Raw genomic sequence first — 17770 nt, 5'->3', positions numbered from 1 at the left:
CTTCTTGAAGAACTTTACATTTGTCCCTGTTGAGCTCCAACTCACCAGATTCAACCCTCCATCCTAGGCTGGAGTCTGGGGTCTCCCACCCATTGTGTAACTGCCTCGCTTTACTTTACATCCATATGTGAGCAAACTCCTGGAGAAGGCTGTCCCTCACCATGAAGAAGAGAAAAAGAAAATACCCTTTGGATTAAGCTCACAGCAGGAAGATTAAAAAATACAAGAATGATGAGAAAGCAGAGTCTATATGATGGACCTTCAGCCAGATGGCCCCGGTTTTAAGAGGGCCTGTTGGGTCAGGCGCAATGGCTCACGCCTGTAATCCCAGCACTTTGGGAGGCTGAGGTGGGCAGATCACGAGGTCAGGAGTTCGAGACCAGCCTGATCAACATGGTGAAACCTGTCTCTACTAAAAATATTAAAAAATTAGCCAGGTGTGGTGGTGTGCACCTGTGATCCCAGCTGCTCAGGAGGCTGAGGCAGGAGAATCACTTGAACCCAGGAGGCGGAGGTTGTGGTGAGCTGAGATCACACCATTGCACTCCAGCCCGGGTGACAGAGCAAGACTCCATCTCAAAAAAAGAAAAGAAGAAAAAAAAAAAGCCTGTTTTCAACTGTAAAAGTTGAGGAGTGTGTTTTATTTGAGAAGAATCCTGACAAACCAAAGTAAGATGCTCAGGATAATGAAGAGAGCAAAGATGACATCATGAAAGCACCAACTAGAGCAACCAGATTCACAAATCTAACCTCAATCATTTGGAGCCACAAAAGCTGTTTTATCCAGAGGAAGCGCTGATAAAGAAAGTGAAAATCCAGTCACATGGGAAATAATTACAGGAACCAGGGAGGCCTTATCTTAGTGAAGTCACCACTTGGGGGACACAATTGCCCCCTTCAGATACTAAAGGGTTGCTATATAAAAGACACAAGACTGAGAAGCAGAATTTTAGGGAGGCAAATTTAACCCAATTTACATCAAACTTGCTAAGATTTATTAAGCAGTTAAACCAGGCACTGTTCTGAACATTTTACATGTACTGCAGATAGTCCCCGACTTATAATGGTTTAACTTATGATTTTTCAACTTCACAACGGTGCAAAAGCCATAGGAATGCAGCACACTCCTTGACTTACCATGAGGCTACATCTGGATAAACCCATCCTAAGTTGAAACTACCATGTTTTGACTTAGAATGGATTTATCTGGAAATAACCCCATCCTAAGTCAAGGAGCATCTGTATTGCTGTCCTGGCCAACAGAGGAGAATCCTGAAACAGAAAGGTCAGGGGACTTGCCCAGGAAACTCACCTAGTAAGGGCAGAGTCAGGGCTGGAACCCGGCCACCTGGCCCCTGAGTTCACATTCAACCTCAAGGCTCTTCTGCCTCTTTAATAATTCAAGATTTAATGTTACCCGGGGCAAGCTGGTTCCCTTAGAAGTAACTGGGCTCCCACTCATGGGGCATCTCACTCAAACAGGAGGCTGTGTAGCCCTGCAGTGGAGACCAGCAGAAGGTACCGCTGAATAAGAAGGATCTGGGGTGTGGAACTACATGGCCTCTGGGATCCCTTCCAGCTCTGAGATCCTATTAGTCTATTTTAGAAAGTTCTGCCATCAGGTTATTAACAAAACCTAAGAATTGGCTCCCACTCCAAAGTGTAATTCTGCCTCCTCTGACTCATACAGCTAGAAATACTTGGAGAGGGTTCACGGGTGGTGGCGGCGGCCCACTGGCCTTTGCAGGAGAGATGCAGACTGCACGGGCCTCAGCAAGCTCTGGGCCTCAGCTCATGTCCCTCACCTCTGCAGCCAACAGGGAATGACGTGCTGTCTAACGGGCAGGAGGCTCCCGGTCCCCAGGGTGTTGTGGACTGACTGGAGGTACAAATGCAGGGTGTACAGATGAAGAGACAGAATGAACAGTGCTTCCCAGCACCCGCAGGAAATTATAAAATATTTTTATGGCACATTATGGAAGGTTCTTGGCCAAAAGCAAATAGCTTAAGAGTTAGGCTTAAGAGTTAGGCTACCCCAACCCCTACCTTAGGCTTAAGAGTTAGGCTACCCCAACCCCTACCTAGAAGCTCCCAGGATGTTATCATCTCATACCTGCAAGCCATTCAAGGCCACAGCTAGAAACTCTGGGATAGAGAATAATTAGAATGAGAAAATAAGGTAGCATTTCCACTTACTAAGCACCTCCAGCCTACAAGGAACAGGACAGAGGAAAGAGCCCATGAATGGTGAATGGCTCCATCCCTCACCCTGAACAGCACAATTCAAGGAGCAAGAGTGGGGCCTCTCACCTGAGAAGAACCACGCTGTCGGACATGAAGGCTCCAACAGTGACATCTGAAAATGAGAAGTTTACAGCGTTCAGAAACTTGCTGAAGCCCATACACAACCGCGCCCTGGGAATGCGCTCACAAGGATGGAGACCCAGCCTTGAGGCCGGAGAGCCCTCAGACGACCACTGTCTGGGCTATACAATGATCTTGTAAGAATGGAAGCCACACTCTCTGACGTGGCAGCCAATCCCTACGCAGGCTACTGGGGCCTTGAAATGTGGCTAGTCTCAGTCGAGAGGTGCTGTGAGTGTAAACTACACACCACATTTCAAAGACCTAGTACAGAAAACCATTAACTACCTCACTAATAACTTTCATATTGATTATATGTTGAAATGATAATATGTTGGCTATATTGGGCTAAAAAAATTAATAAAATTAACTTCACCTTTTTTATCATTTTATGTAATTACAGGAATATTTTAGATTACACATATGGCTTATACTTCTTTTCACATCAGTGAATTAGAGAAAGACATACCTAGAATTCAGTGACTCTTGGAAAATGCTCTAGGTTCTGAAGAACATGGAATTGTCACCCTCCACCCCTCACTCTATGTGACCTGAGTATCTCATGGTATCCCTGTCTGTAAAATGAAGATAATTATCCCCAGGGCCTTCTTCAAAAGCTGATAATATTTCATTACATTTAAATCAGAAAATATTTATTAGTCATTATATAATATTCATTAAGTACCCACTAGATTTATAGTAAATATTTATTAAATATATGAAATCAGATATTTAAGTCAGTAAATTCATGGAAATACTTGGTAAGCTATAAACCAAGACCCTGGTTTAACTGGTAATGTTTATTCCTAAATAACTTTAATTTAGGAAGTACTTACTCTTCCAGTGGTTCTATGCCTTTCTCCCTACCACCCCAACCCGGCCATATAAATCCCTGGCCCTGGGGTTCCCACTACTACTTCACAGAACCAAGTATCTGAGTCCAAGAGGGTCTGAATCTGTACATCACTAAATGCACTGAGCATCTATATGATGCCCTCATTAGGGAAAAACAAATGGCAAATCCATGAATTATAGTGTTCCTAAAATTTCTCCACTTGGGTGTTGTATCAATTTTGTTCTTCAATAGTCTTTAAATTTGCTATATGTTTAAAAATAAAAGAACCTGATGAATTTGTCAATTTCCCTTATGAAAAACACAAGATCAGAAATTCAGATCCATTGTGAACTGTGAACACCTTGCTCACCTCACATTTACAGAAAAGTAGCTGAACCACTGGGAAGCATGGATCCCCGTGCACTGCAGGCTCTGGGCAGCCCCTCACAATGAGTCTCAGCATCCTTGTTTATAAAGTGGGGAAAACACCCTATCCTACTTACCTGCTGGGGTCACTGCGAGATGCACATTGCATGTGGAAGCATTTTGTACATATTAAATGCTAAACCCATATAAGGTATTATTTGGGGATGGCCACAAATTTTCCAGAACAAGAACTGCTTTCTCAAACTTAAAAAGGCCCACAAGGGTCTTTCTTGGGACAAAAGCTTCAACACTGACTTCTTTCTATTCCCTTACTTCCTCCTGGCTCTGTTGTCTTGAGGAATTTCCAAAACTCCTATCTGTACAAAAATACACAATGTGGTGTCCTCATACAAGACTGCGTTAGTTTTCTTAAATTTTAGTGGAAAGAAATATTTCTCAAAAGCAAGATGACTATAAAATTTAGAGAAATGTTTCCTGAATTCCATGACCATTCTGGATTTTTTCAAATTCTTACTGTTGTTTCCTTACCTTACCCCACTCCATCTTGAAACACCTGAAGAACCACTACTCCACCACCCAGGCAATTTGACCTAGGCCAGATATCACTTGGGGTTGGGTTTGAAATCATGTATCTTTATCCAGTTAGCCACAACCACCACAGGCAATAATTAACTCTAAAGCCAAGCCAGCCAGCATTGAATGGTGAAGGTCTGCTTTGTCCACACGCAAGAGGACTTGGTTTTCTTTTAACTCCAAATCTTTCTCCATCATTTTATTTCAAGAGTAGGGGCAGGGGGCGGTGGGGGTGCTGCTCTTTTTCCCTCTCAAGAGTAAGAAGCCTTTGAATGTGGTTAAATACAAAGGAAAACATGAGGTTTCACTATTCAACCATTTTAGATGTGGCCAGTGCTTTTTTTCTTCATTAGAATTACCGCCCCAGAAACCACTACACAAATCCACCCTCCTGGTGCTAAGCCATTCAGAGTAGATCAGTTTAAAACCCCAAAATAAATATCAACATTATTTTCACCTTAAAATTGAACACCAGGCAAAACACCCTATTCTATTGTGTGAATTGTCCTAATCCTAAATGGATGTGATGATTGCTAACCAGACTGAAAATTATTCTACTTCATGCATTTATCTTCATTTATCTCATGTGCCTTTAAAGAAAAACAGCTTACCAGGATAGCCATTTCCATCCATATCAATGCCTCCCGATATGGACTGACCAAACATCCGGAGCACTGGATTTATCTTCTGCCCAGACAGTTTCTGAAACAGATAATAGGGAAATGGAGTCACAGGAAAAGACCACAGTCACAAATAAGAACTGTGACTGCTTTATTCCAGCTTCCCTAGGACACTTGGTCTTAAAGTTGTTGAAAGAAAAAAAAAAAGTAATCCTAATGTGATCAGCAAGTCTTTAGCAGGCAGTTGAAGGCCACACACTCCTTTATTATTACTTGTCTTGGCCAAACGTCATCATTTAAAATTTTTTCTAAGTTCTGTGTTAATGAAAAAAATCCACCTAGACTACCATGATAATGTTTTGACATGTTGAAATTCAAAATGGATAAAGTTTAACTTCCATTCCTAATGCAGGTTCTGTTTGTTTTTACACAGGTGTAGCTGGCTGAAATTCTAAGAACATATTTAGCTTGTATCTTTCTTCCCAAATATGTACTAAATATTTAACACTCTGCTCCTAAGAGGCACACATTACAGAGTCTTTCCCTAGACAGACAGGTAATTAACATGTCCAGCTGGAAAAGATGGCCATGTGGAAACTACCTCTCCATCCAGCCAACCAGATGATCTATAGATTCTGGAGCTTCACAGACAGGAGTGAACAGTTTTACCCAGTAAATCTAGAACTCCATGGTCCTGAACACTTCTTAAACTGTAGGAAATCAAAAGCACTCAGCTGAAGAAGATGCCCTGCCCTCCCCTCTAGAAAACAGCCCCCTCAACCAACCAGAGTTCACAACTTCACCATGGGACACACTAGCATCTATGCTTACTTTATATGTTTTTTAAAAACAAAAAACTTTCTCTTTTTTTTTTTTTTAAGAGATAGAGTCTTGCTCTGTTGCCCAGGCTAGAATGCAATGGCACAATCATAGCACACTGCAGCCTCAAACTCCTGGGCTTAAGTGATCCTCCCGCCTTAGCCTCCCAAGTAGCTGGGACTATAGGCATGCTCCAATATACCCAGCTGTTTTACTTTTTTTGTCAGACGGGGTCTCGCCATGTTGCCCAAGGTGGTTTCAAACTCCAAGCCTCAAACGATGTTCCTGCCTCAGCCTCCCAAGGAACTGGGATTACAGCCACCACTCCTGGCTGTGCTCACTTCTTATTCATCATTAAGTTCATCACATATCCACACAGGCAGCACTGATTCAACAATATTTATTGTACAAACAGCCTTTGTCACACTGAAGCTGCGCATCAACATTCGTGTGGCGCAGTTCCTCACAAAGATACTGAACTTCTTGAATCAGAAAAGTCCCATCTTCTGGGGTCTGACCTACTCCTTCTGCCTTTATCTGCATGGTCCCCCAGGGGAGGCTCACTTCCTGATGTCCTCACTGTGGAGGACAAGAGAAATGCTTTGTTTTCAAAGTACAATAGAACCAGGTTTACAGCTATCTAGGGGCTCACTTTGACTTTCTTTCCTTATCCTTCTCTTTCCCGAGTCATCCTGCAGAGAAGTCACGAAGGCAAGGAGGGGGGAGTTTTCACAGGATCTACAGATGGAGGCACGAGAGATGCCCCCTGACCCCCAGCAGCTGATAACTGCAAATAACCCTCCTAGAAGTGATCAGAGAAGGCTGCTTGCCATCCTCCGTTAAGCCATCCAACAGGAAATGTCCAAGCACCAAAGTACAAATCAGAACACTGTAGGAAACACTGAAGAAATGTTTCACACTAACAGGCAAAGCCCTACATCCCACATGGCTCTGTCTAAACAAACATGTACGTGTGTCTGCACATTTCTTAAAAGCCACGTTTTGAAGCAGACCCTCTTGGCTCTGAAGTCCAAGAACTCTAGCAGCAGCCTGCCCCTGGATCTACATTTCTAAGGTATGCTGTGGCTGGGACGAGGGGCAGAGCGAAGGGGTGGTCCATCTGGGGTGGTGATGCAGGCTTAAGTTATCCCACAGACATCTGCAGGCCATTATGCTAAAAGCCAAGAAGATAAGTCTGCCCAGTGCTAATAACCCTAAATGAAAACCAGGAGCCCTGGAAACCTCCACTTGACCAGGTTTCTATGCAGTGTCCCCTCCAGCAAGAGAAGGATCATAGGGGCCGCCATATGCCCAGAGGGCTCTCACATTGGGAAAGGCACACAAGGATCTTAAAATAAACACTCTCCGTGGTAAACTCGAGAGAGAGTTAAAGAGCAATGTGGAAGAAGTGTAGGCCCTGATCTCACAATTTACCCAGCAGAAATAATACAAATCTGGGCCAAAGCAAAGTGATTCCATTGCCCAGAGTTGTTTCTGATTCCTTCCTCTAGTTCACCCACACAATGCCTGCTCTGTCCAGGACCTGGGCCTGCAAGAATCTGCCATTAAAGAATTTTTTTTCTTTTAAATCTCTGCCCTTATCATATGCATATTAGCAGCTTGGGAACGTACAGTCATAGTTGCTTCTTTCTTTTTTTTTCCTTAAGAGCCCAAAACCACTTCTCTTTGTCAAAGCAAAGGAGCCAGCCTGCGTGCTGACAAAGGCAGGCTGGTCCAGATGCTATCCCTGCTTCCCACTAAAGACGCTCCACGCTAACCACAAGAGTTATACTGTGGTTCTCTACAGGGATTCCACCCAGCAACCAAACAAAACACTGGGAGGGCCCCGGAGGAGGGGAAGCTGGGGTCTCTCACAGGTTGCCTCACTGTGTGATTAGCTTCCGAGGTCCAGGAAAACAAGCTTCCCGGAGGATGCGTGGAGAATGACCCTGACCGCTGCCCGAGCACGGGGCTCCTTGGGTGACTTTTAGCTTGTCACCCTGGGAAGAGCATCCCTGCCGCAGCCTAGGGCAGCTCTTGTGACTCAGATGTGGCCCCCAAACTGTGCCCAAAGCTCTCTTCCTCCTGCCTTGTGGGCTGAATCACCGAAGTTTATTAATCTCCTGTTATGTACTTCTAATGAAAAGAGGATGGTCTGGATAGATAAATGCCCCTCAGACTATGTATGCCTCATGGCAAAATAGTTTCCATATTCGTAAGTTTTCCTACTGAGTTTCCGAGCGTTCCTTTTTGCAATGTGGAGTTGAGGATGGTGGTTACGATAACAAGTTTCAGGCAGCAGACTGGCAAAGATTCTGTGGCCATACTGCCACTTATGACCTTGGGCAAGTTAAATAACCTCCTTGGGCCTCGTGGATAAATAAATGGTGGATAATAAACAGACCCATCTTACATGGCTGCTGCGAGGATTAAAGGTAAAGAAAGGGCAGAGTAGGCACCCAAAAAACAGTCCCTCCTCTTCGCAGCGCCTCCCAAAGCCCTGTCTCCTGCAGGTGAGGCACTGAGCTCAGCAGGAGGCCAGTAGAGAGGGGATCTGAGGCACGAATGACAACCAACCAACCCTCCACCCTTAACTAGTTTATCTCTATCTGCCAAGGACAATTATTCATGTAGAAGTTGTACTTGCATTTACCTGCTGCCTCTTAAAATTAAAATACAAATACATATGAGTAGGAAGTAGTCAGCATGTAGTAAGTGTTCAATAAATAAATATTTGTTGATTGGAAATTTCTCAATGTGTGTCCCCTTCTGTCTCTGACCCACTGGGAGAAAGACCAGAGCCAGTGCCACTCCACAGGCAGACATCCACAAATATCCTGACAATGCTTCTGCTGAGAGCATGACTTCCTTTTTTCCCATGGGCTGGGCTTGACACCATCAGCAAGATTGAACACCAAGCTGATACGGCAAAAAACAGAACTCACCACTTCCATGTTCCCAAGTATAGGGCGCAAGCGCAGAGTCCTAACTGGCTCCTGGTTTTGAGGCCAGCTGGGACGACAGTCTGTGATCAGTTTCAGGCCCCTCCACCATGGACCATTTTTCTTCTAGATTATATATTAAAACATATTCCTTTGCCTTAGCATAGACGGTTGACAAAGTAGTCACCAAAAAGAGAAAGCTTCCTTTCCTTTCTTAAATAAATGGCTCCAACTCTGAGTAAGAGTTGAAAATTATCTTCTTTAGGCAAAATGCATCCCTGAGTGTTAGCGAACTTGGGATTCTAAGAATGCTTTTTTTAGTATTTAATAAGCAATATTAATTGTATCTTTCACAAAAGGGTAGGAAGGCCAAGGCAAGAAAAATGTTTTTCTTTGTACCTCCAGGGCATGGTGCATAATGAAGGTTCCATACATGTTTGCTGAATGAATGTATGAACAGTTGCCATATCACTCTCACACTAATTACCATTGAGTACTGAGGGACTATCCCACCGGCATCACCATGATAGATATAGACCGCCCCTGCGAAGTCATCCTCCTTGGGTGCACCAATGGCCACATCTGAGGGTAAAAAAACAGCTATGGGTTAAAAAGCCACATTAATAATACAAGTGCAGCTTCCCTAATTCTGGTTGTCATGTCTGAGTCCCTGGATACCAGAAATTATTGGTTGTTGATTGTTCAAGCATTAATTTGGGGACAAGATCCCTCAGCGGGAAAAAAAAAAAAAAAAAGTAGGCCAGTGTGGTGGCTCACGCCTGTAATCCCAGCACTTTGGCAGGCCAAGGCGGGCAGGTCGCCTGAGGTCAAGAGTTTAAGACCAGCCTGGCCAACATAGTGAAACCCCAGCTCTACTAAAAATACAAAAATTAGCTGGGTGTGGTGGCACGCACCTGTTGTCCCAGCTACTCTGGAGGCTGAGGCAAGAGAATCACTTGAACCCGGGAAGCGGAGGTTGCAGTGAGCTGAGATTGTGCCACTGGACTCCAGCCTGGGAAACAGAGTGAGACTCCATCTCAAAAAAAAAAAAAAAAAAAAAAAAAAAAAAAGTACAGTGAAAACTATAGAAGCTGACTGAGAAGAATTTAGTTCCAAAAAAGTTTCTACCTTATGCTCGTAAGAAAAACCACTGACCCATCCAATAAAAGAAATGCAAATATAAACTACGTGCCATAATTTCCATCAGGGAGAATTCCATAGACAATGGCTATTGTGTAACTGAGAAAGTCTGAGGTCCTGGATAAAGGACCATTCCTTATTATTATTTGATAATAAATCCATTCCTGGATAAAGGAAATATACAGAAGGGCATTCACTTCACACACAAGAAATAACATTACTCTCACAAACTGGCAACTCCTAGAACAAAACCTAGATCTTCCTAACTTTTTTCCCTTGCTTCTAACAAAGTCATGTGTCTGCAGAAGTGAGGCCAAGGGGGAGGAAAATGAAGCCCACTGTAGCCAGTGGTAGGAGGTATCAAAGACGTCTGGATGGCTGGCCTGGGCAAGGGTTGCCCCACCTCCACCACCACATGCCCTGGTGACATGGTTGCTCTGCCTCCCGACGTCTGTATGCTGTGTATGCAGCGAGGTGAAGAGGCTCAAACAAGCCAGAGAGAGAGGCCAAGAGGCTGTGAGGAACACTGCTGTCCAAACAGACCTAGGCATTAGGTACATATGCCTCCATGCCTCCCAAGACACACACACACACACACACACACACACGCGTACACTCTCAAAAGTCAATCTAGCTGCTGCTATAATCAGGCAGAAGATGTCTGGGTTTCTAATTCTCTCCTCACTCATTTCCCCATCAACATGGTAGAGCATGATGGAGCATCAAAGGCTCAGAAACAAGGAGAGTTGATGGCAGGATGAAGCTATTCAAACTTCTTGCCATAAGAAGTCCCAAATGGACCAGCCCCAAGGTTTGCTTCCACTGCAAACAACAAAGAACACTGAGCTGGTGAGAAGGGATTATGCAGAGGCAAAACTCCAGTGGGCTGGAAGCTCAGCCCTGCGTGTCTACAGGGAGAGCACCTCTAAACGTGTCCTATCTCCCCACAGCACATTGATGGGCCTTCGAAGGGGATCAGTAGACCCAGGAGCATGCCACTAGAGATGGACAGTCAGCGAGCAGGCTGCCCCTCTGAAACAGAGCAGCGTGCTGCACCTGGAGGGGCTCCGTGCACCAGGAGCACTCACTCACCTGGGAACCCATCATTGTCCAGATCGTCCAGGCTGGCAATGCTCTCTCCAAAGTGCGCATTGTAGGCACCATCCCCAGTCAGAGCCAGCTGCTCCTCGAGGGCTCCCTGGGAAACAGGATGGAGGAGAAAATGGAAAACAAAACAAAAACAAACAGAACAAACAATAAAAATCAATAAAAAACCAGAGTTTGAATGCTGCCCTGCTAGAGCACACTCATTGACAGGAAACACCTGGGCAGAATTACAGGAACCCAAACTTCTCTCTCCTGCTGGCAAAATGCGTCCCTTTTACCTGCTTAGCAGGATGGTCTCCCATAGCCTGAGATGCATTTTTGAGGGAAGGAGAATGTCATGGTAGCCAATGACTACACTCTCTGCCTTGTCCTAATACACTACACACAAGCAAACCTCCCTACCCACCTTTCCCCCATGTGCTCTCCACGTCCTTAAGGCATAGCACTTTTTCCCCAATGTTGTTTTAAAAGGGTATACATTTTTCTATTTTTTCTTTCCTGTGCCTTTTGGTACAAGTTTATAAAACTGTTTTGCAAAGTGCATATATGAGTTATCTTGATAGAGGGAGTCATGGTTCAGAAAATCCAAGCACCCAGTCGTTCTTGGCCAGAGGGTGGCTGTGATGGCAGACGTCACTGTGCCTATTATTCATGCATGGCTCAGGTATGAATTTCCTGAGAAAATACTAACCAACAGAGGGAGGGGGTTAATGGTGTACAAAGGCAGGAAAAGTCATCTAACTTGGGGGAAAAAGTCATACCTACTCTCACCCCAAATCACTGACACATGAAGACCAGAGTGATACAATGCAATCTGATGTCCTGAGACATGAGAAGATGTATGCATTCCCCAGTGCAGAGGCAGTCTGGGCCCACTATATCCTACAGGCCATCCCACGAGTGTCTGGCTTTTATCATGACCAAGTCTTCTTTTTCACTATAAACACAATTTACACCTTGAAAACAGTCAAGGTGAGATGATTTCTTGGATGAATGAAACCTCCACCCCAAAACACAAATATGCATTAATTTCTTTCTTTCAGTGTAGTGGGGAAGAGGAGAGGAACACCAGCAACTGATTGCTCCTATGTACCAGGTACTGTACAGCCAGCTCCTCATTCAAATCACACAATGACTCCATAAGGAAGATCTTATGATGCCTCTCACTTTACAGATGAGGAAATTGGGCCACCAATTTCAAGCCATTTGTCCACATCACACAGGCTAGGACATGGCAAAACCAAGATTCAAACTCAGGTCCACCTTGCTCCAAAGTCAGAATTTTTTCCACTACTCCACACTGCCTTCCGATCTTTATTCAAATGGCTGATGTTCAACAGAAATGAGAATACTCTGGTACTTAGAATAACCATACAACATCAAGAAACACTGGTTGGCAGGGGAGGGTGTGGGTGCATCATGCCCAGTGGAGGCCTGGGGGAGTTCTTGTGCTTCAAGAGTCCACCTTCTGATTTAGACACACAGTCTGGCTGTTGGACCTGACTCCTACACAAATGTCTCAGTCTCCTGCAAATACAATGGCAGGCACCACTGAATGCCCACAGCACTCATTTATTTAATGTCCCCTTCATTTCTCCCTGCACCCTGCCCTGACTTCCTGGAATGTCAGTGGGTATGCAGGTGCCAAGAGTTCCTGCAACAGGTACCAATAAGCACCTTCCCTCCCAGATATTTTATTTTTTTTAGAGACAGAGTCTCATTGTGTAGCCCAGGCTGGAGTGCAGTGGTGCAATCATAGCTCACTACCACCTCAAACTCCGGTGCTCAAGGGATCCTCTCGCCTCAGCCTCCTAGGCAACCACCACTGCACCTTGCTTGTTGGCTTGTTGACTAACTGATTGACAAGGTCTCACTCTGTCACCCAGGCTGGAGTACAGTGGCATGATCACGGCTCACTGCAGCCTCCACCTCCTGGGCTCAAACAATCCTCCCACCTCAGCCTCAGCTGGGACCACAGGCAAGCACCACCACACCAGGCTAATTTTTTTGTGTGTTTTTAGTAGAGACAGGGTTTCACCATGTTGGCCAGGCTGGTCTTGAACTCCTGGCTTCAAGTGATCCTCCCACCTGGGCCTCCCAAACCTCCCTGGTTTTAGATCTGACTTCCTGAAGAGCCTGAAAACCTCAGACGCAACATAAGGCTCTAACAATCCCTGGCTCTCCTTTCACTGCTTCCTTCCTTTCTGGCATCTGCCCACTTAGTTATAGCTAAACCTCTGCCCTCTCCCAACTGGGATACCTAGCATCTCAGCCACTGCTTAACAGTACACTTCGATTTTTTTAAATATGAAATTATATTCTCACTATTTGGATAAAGATAAAACTAAACATCTATCCAGAGAGCTGTTATTCACATTTTCTATGTATTTGGCATATTTCTGAGGACTGGTTGTACATGCAGTTTTCATCCCATTTTTCCACTGATTATCTCCATAAGCGTTTTCTCATGTTAGAGAAAAGGTAGGCGGCACCAGAATGTTTTCATTGAACCATGTTGTTCTTGCTGAATACTTGTACTTGAACACTTGTACTTCCAGATCCTGAAAAGACTGCTTTCTCACTGGTCTCCTGCTTCCACGATGCACTGCTGTCCCCCAACCCAGCCCCCACTCACCCACCCTCCATTAGCTACAGAGGGCCAGAGGCATCTTTCTGTCCATGTCACGTCCCTTTCATGGTTCTGCAGAATAGGGGACACCAAGATTATTGGCCAGGCGTGGTGGCTCACGTCTGTAATCCTAGGGAGGCCAAGTAGGGCAGATCACTTGAAATCAGGAGTTTGAGACCAGCCTGGCCAACATGGTGAAACCCCATCTCTACTAAAAACACACAAAAAATTAGCCGGGTGTGGTGGCAAGTGCCTGTAATCCCAGTTACTGGGGAGGCTGAGGCAGGAGAAGAGTTTGAACCCAGGAGGCAGAGGTTGCAGTGAGCCAAGACTGCGTCACTGCACTCCAGCCTGGGTGATGGAGTGATACTTTGCCTCAAAACAAACAAACGAACAAAAAGATTATGGTTCCCATGCAGTCCCCTGCCCCCCCATGCTGAAATGAGTGGTGATGCCACCTCACACCCCAACCCACTTGCCCAGCTCTGCACTGGGAGCTCTGCTCCAGCCCACCCTGCCTGTCTGCTAACTCCTACTCCTTCTTCAAGATTCCCCAGCCATTGTGTCCTCCTCTGCTTCCCTGGGAAAATGTGCATATGCTCCCAGAGAGGTGGCATAACCTTGAGACAAAGCATGCCAGCTCTAAAGCCAGCTTGCCTAGGTTCAAATCCCAGCCCCACTTCTTAGCTGTGTGGTTTGGGACACATTACCTAACCTCTCTGGGCCTCAGTTTTTCCACCTGAAAAATGGGCACCCTTGATACCATGTGTATATTGCATAGAAATCTCTCGCAGAAAGCAGGAAGAAGAGTCCCTGGTACATAGTAAGCACTCAAAAGACAATTATTAAGATTCTTCCTTGGCCCCTGGGTGTCTGCAGTTGTAACATTGTATATAACTTTCCATTAATGGGCCATTGAGCTTATTCAAGACAGATATCACATATTTTCATCTCCTCTGGGTAACATTGCCCCCAGTGCCGGCCCAGAGGGGTGCTCGGCCACTGCTGGCTGGACAAATGTCCCTCCCCCACACCCATCCGCACATTGCCCAGTATTGTACTCACATTTCCTCTGTTGATGTAGACAGTGACCTGTCCCTCATCCCTGATCTCAGAAAACATGGGGGCCCCCACCAGCAGGTCAGAGAGGCCGTCCCCATTCAGGTCAACTGCGCACAAGGAGGAGCCGAAGTAAGAGCCCATCTGCAACCAAGTTGAGTTGCAACAAAGCATTCAGTGTCTGCTCTCACACAAGGATGCCCTCGCTTTCCTCCACCCCATTGGCTTTAGAAACATCCCTCAGAGGAATTGAACAATGAGAACACATGGACACAGGAAGGGGAACATCACACACCAGGGCCTGCTGTGGGGTTGGGGGAGGGGGGAGGGATAACATTAGGAGATATACCTAATGTTAAATGACGAGTTAATGGGTACAGCACATCAATATGGCACATGTATACATATGTAACAAACCTGCACGTTGTGCACATGTACCCTAAAACTTAATGTATACTAAAAAATAAAAACATAAAAAAAAAGAAACATCCCTCAGAGGCTGGATGGCTATGCTGCCCCCTAAACCAGAATGCCTAGCAAAGAGTGAAATACCCAACTTCCAGCAGCAAGGCAGGGCCCCAGTCAATGTGAGACAAAGCTAACTGGCCCAAAGTCCCCCATTCCTGGAGTCCTATCAAGGGGAAGATAAATAGATTGATGCCCACAGAATGAGGTGCTGTTTTTAAAAATGCAAGCTGAGGACACAAAGTTATGTTACAACCATAATAAAAATGCTCCTTATATCAGACATTTGACAAGGCCAAGCAAGTAGGAATATGAAATCTCACAACACAAGAAAGGCATGAAAATAAATGTTACATGGGGAAATAGGTTATTCTCTCCTGGTCCTATGCACAGGTGAAAGATTGGTTAGGAAGGCATGAGCTGAAGTGACAGAAAAAGGTACAACTTTTAAGACTGTTTAACTGATGAGGGAACAGAGCAAGATAATATTGACTTTTAATTATAGCTTAATTAGGGGTCTCAAACCCAAATACCAACAGGATCCAGGCAGGTGATATAACAGGCATAAGAAAAAAAATTAATGTGGCAAGTGACACTTGTCTTCCTTGTCTACATAACAATAGGGAGTGGTGGAGACTGTGGCAAACTGGAGCCCACAAGCCTGGCTAAAGGAGCAGCTTCAACCCAGCTGCAGCTAACTGCCACCAAGAGGAATGCTGACCCAGAGAGGAGCAACCTTTCCATTTTCCAAAAGAAGCCAAAAATTTAAAACTTTATTTAAAGTGCCAGTGTTTTAAATGCTCGCAACTTCTTCGTGTGTAAAAACAATAAACAAATACTGTGCAAGCCAAACAAAAGTATTTGTAGGCTGTATTCTTTCCAAAGGCTGTCAGTTTGCAACCTCTACTTTAAAAAAAAATAAAAGAAGAAGGCCGGGCATGGTGACTCACGCCTGTACTCCCAGCACTTTGGGAGGCGGGTGGATCACAAGGCCAGGAGTTCGAGACCAGCCTGGCCAACATGGTGAAACCCCATCTCTACTAAAAATACAAAAATTAGCCAGGCGTGGTGGCAGGCACCTGTAATCCCAGCTACAAGGGAGGCTGAGGCAGGAGAATCGCTTGAACCTGGGAGGTGGAGGTTGCAGTGAGCCAAGATCATGCCACTGCACTCTAGCCTGGGCAACAGAGCAAGACTCTGTCAAGAAAGAAAAGAAAGAAGAAAGAAAGAAAGAAAAGAAAAGAAAAGAAAAGAAAAGAAAAGAAAAGAAAAGAAAAGAAAAGAAAAGAAAAGAAAAGAAAAGAAAAGAAAAGAAAAGAAAGAAGGAAGGAAGGAAGGAAGGAAGGAAGGAAGGAAGGAAGGAAGGAAAGAAAGAAAGAAAGAAAGAAAGAAAGAAAGAAAGAAAGAAAGAAAGAAAAGAAAAGAAAAGAAAAGAAAAGAAAAGAAAAGAAAAGAAAAGAAAAGAAAAGAAAAGAAAGAGAAAAAGCATTATTCTTTTAAAATAAATGTTTTCTAATAAAAGGCCCCTGGGTTGATGGACATGAACAAGCCTTTTCTTTTACTGTTGGAGTTTGTTGGCAGCTGACCCAGGGAGTTTGAGGGAGAGAGGTAGAGGACACTCCAATCTATTTCCTGCAGCTAACAGGGTCACAGGAGGGCTTTGTAGTGGCCGCTCAGAAATCCTTCCCCAGTGATATGCCAAGGCCATCTTCCTCCCCTCTGATTACCCATTCTCAAAGGAGAACGGAGCAGGAAAGGGTTGAAATCACAGAGGGTGAGGAGGAAAGAAACCGAGTTGCCAGTCACTATTTCAGTGGCCTTGCCAATCTCCCCATCTGAGCTTTGGTAAAAGAAATCAGTAAGACACAGGCAAAGACCCAAAGAGCCAAGCTGCTGGCTGCGCTCACTGGCTGAGCCCCAGGGGAACTATTTGTTTCATTCCAAAGGACTATTTAACTTGGCATCTTCATCAATGTTAAATTAGAAATCTCTATATGTGAAGTTTCCTATCTCAGTTTTGAAATACAAATGCTTCACATACTCCGTTAATTCAATAAAACTTCAATATGGCAATGACATGCTTTGGGGTGTGTGTCCGATGATCAGAGCTCCCCATCAGCCTGGAAATGTGGAGATGTGTGTCTGTATTAACATCTGAACTGCACACATGTTGGTGATTTCTTAAGTGTACTATTTGGAGAAAGTCAACCAATAAAGACAAGAACCAGGTTTTTTTTGTTTGGTTTTGTTTTTTTAATCTTTTTGCTTTGTTTCTTCTTATAGGAAGCCAGGATACAGAACTATCTGACCAAATTCTAGCCAAACGGAAGCAGAAGTGAACCGGTGGTTTGCTGAGTTAGAACCCTCCTGTCTATGTGACTCTGGACATAGGGATAAATCTAAAGGCATCCTTTGAAAGCCTGGGGTCATGTCCTTTTGTAGGAGGTAATGGAGAAGTCAGAAAGACATGAATGTCTCATTTCTTCTGGCAAGAAGTAGAATAAGTTGTATAAAGAAAGGTCATGGCCTATTTCAAAAGCAGAACGATGATGACAGGGTAAATCTAGTTGGAGACACTAGTAGAAGGAAGTGAAGGCAAGAGGACTGTGAGTGAGTGGCAGAAAGAAGGGGTGCCTATGGAATGGTGCAAAGGTTAGGGCCAGAAGAGCCCTAAAGAAAAGAAAAAGTCAAATGGCTACGAAGCCAAGAAGTTGAATACCTGGGCCTTTCTGTCCCTTCTCAGGGAACCTGATGTATCTTGGTATGATAAGGACATCCAAGCAGACATTCAGGCCTGAACCTGTCCTGGAACTCAATGGCAGAAGTCTTC

The 17770-nt window shown here is 44.7% G+C and overlaps 1 protein-coding gene across 1 annotated transcript in view; it reads right to left on the bottom strand.

The window, feature by feature from the left end:
* ITGA9 (integrin subunit alpha 9) overlaps positions 1 to 17770 on the bottom strand; it is a 371367-nt gene that overhangs the window by 295126 nt on the left and 58471 nt on the right. Inside the window, exons 9-13 of the mRNA NM_002207.3 lie at positions 14482 to 14619; positions 10773 to 10878; positions 9028 to 9122; positions 4771 to 4861; positions 2311 to 2356 (exon numbers count right to left, since the gene is read on the bottom strand). Coding sequence (NP_002198.2) covers positions 2311 to 2356; positions 4771 to 4861; positions 9028 to 9122; positions 10773 to 10878; positions 14482 to 14619 — 476 coding nt within the window. The remainder of the gene's footprint in view (positions 1 to 2310; positions 2357 to 4770; positions 4862 to 9027; positions 9123 to 10772; positions 10879 to 14481; positions 14620 to 17770) is intronic.

This window comes from Homo sapiens, chromosome 3 (assembly GCF_000001405.40).
Source record: "Homo sapiens chromosome 3, GRCh38.p14 Primary Assembly".
Classification (NCBI taxonomy): Eukaryota; Metazoa; Chordata; class Mammalia; order Primates; family Hominidae; genus Homo; species Homo sapiens.
The sequence above is the reverse complement of the archived record's forward strand: the minus strand, read 5'-3'. Positions and strand labels throughout refer to the sequence as shown.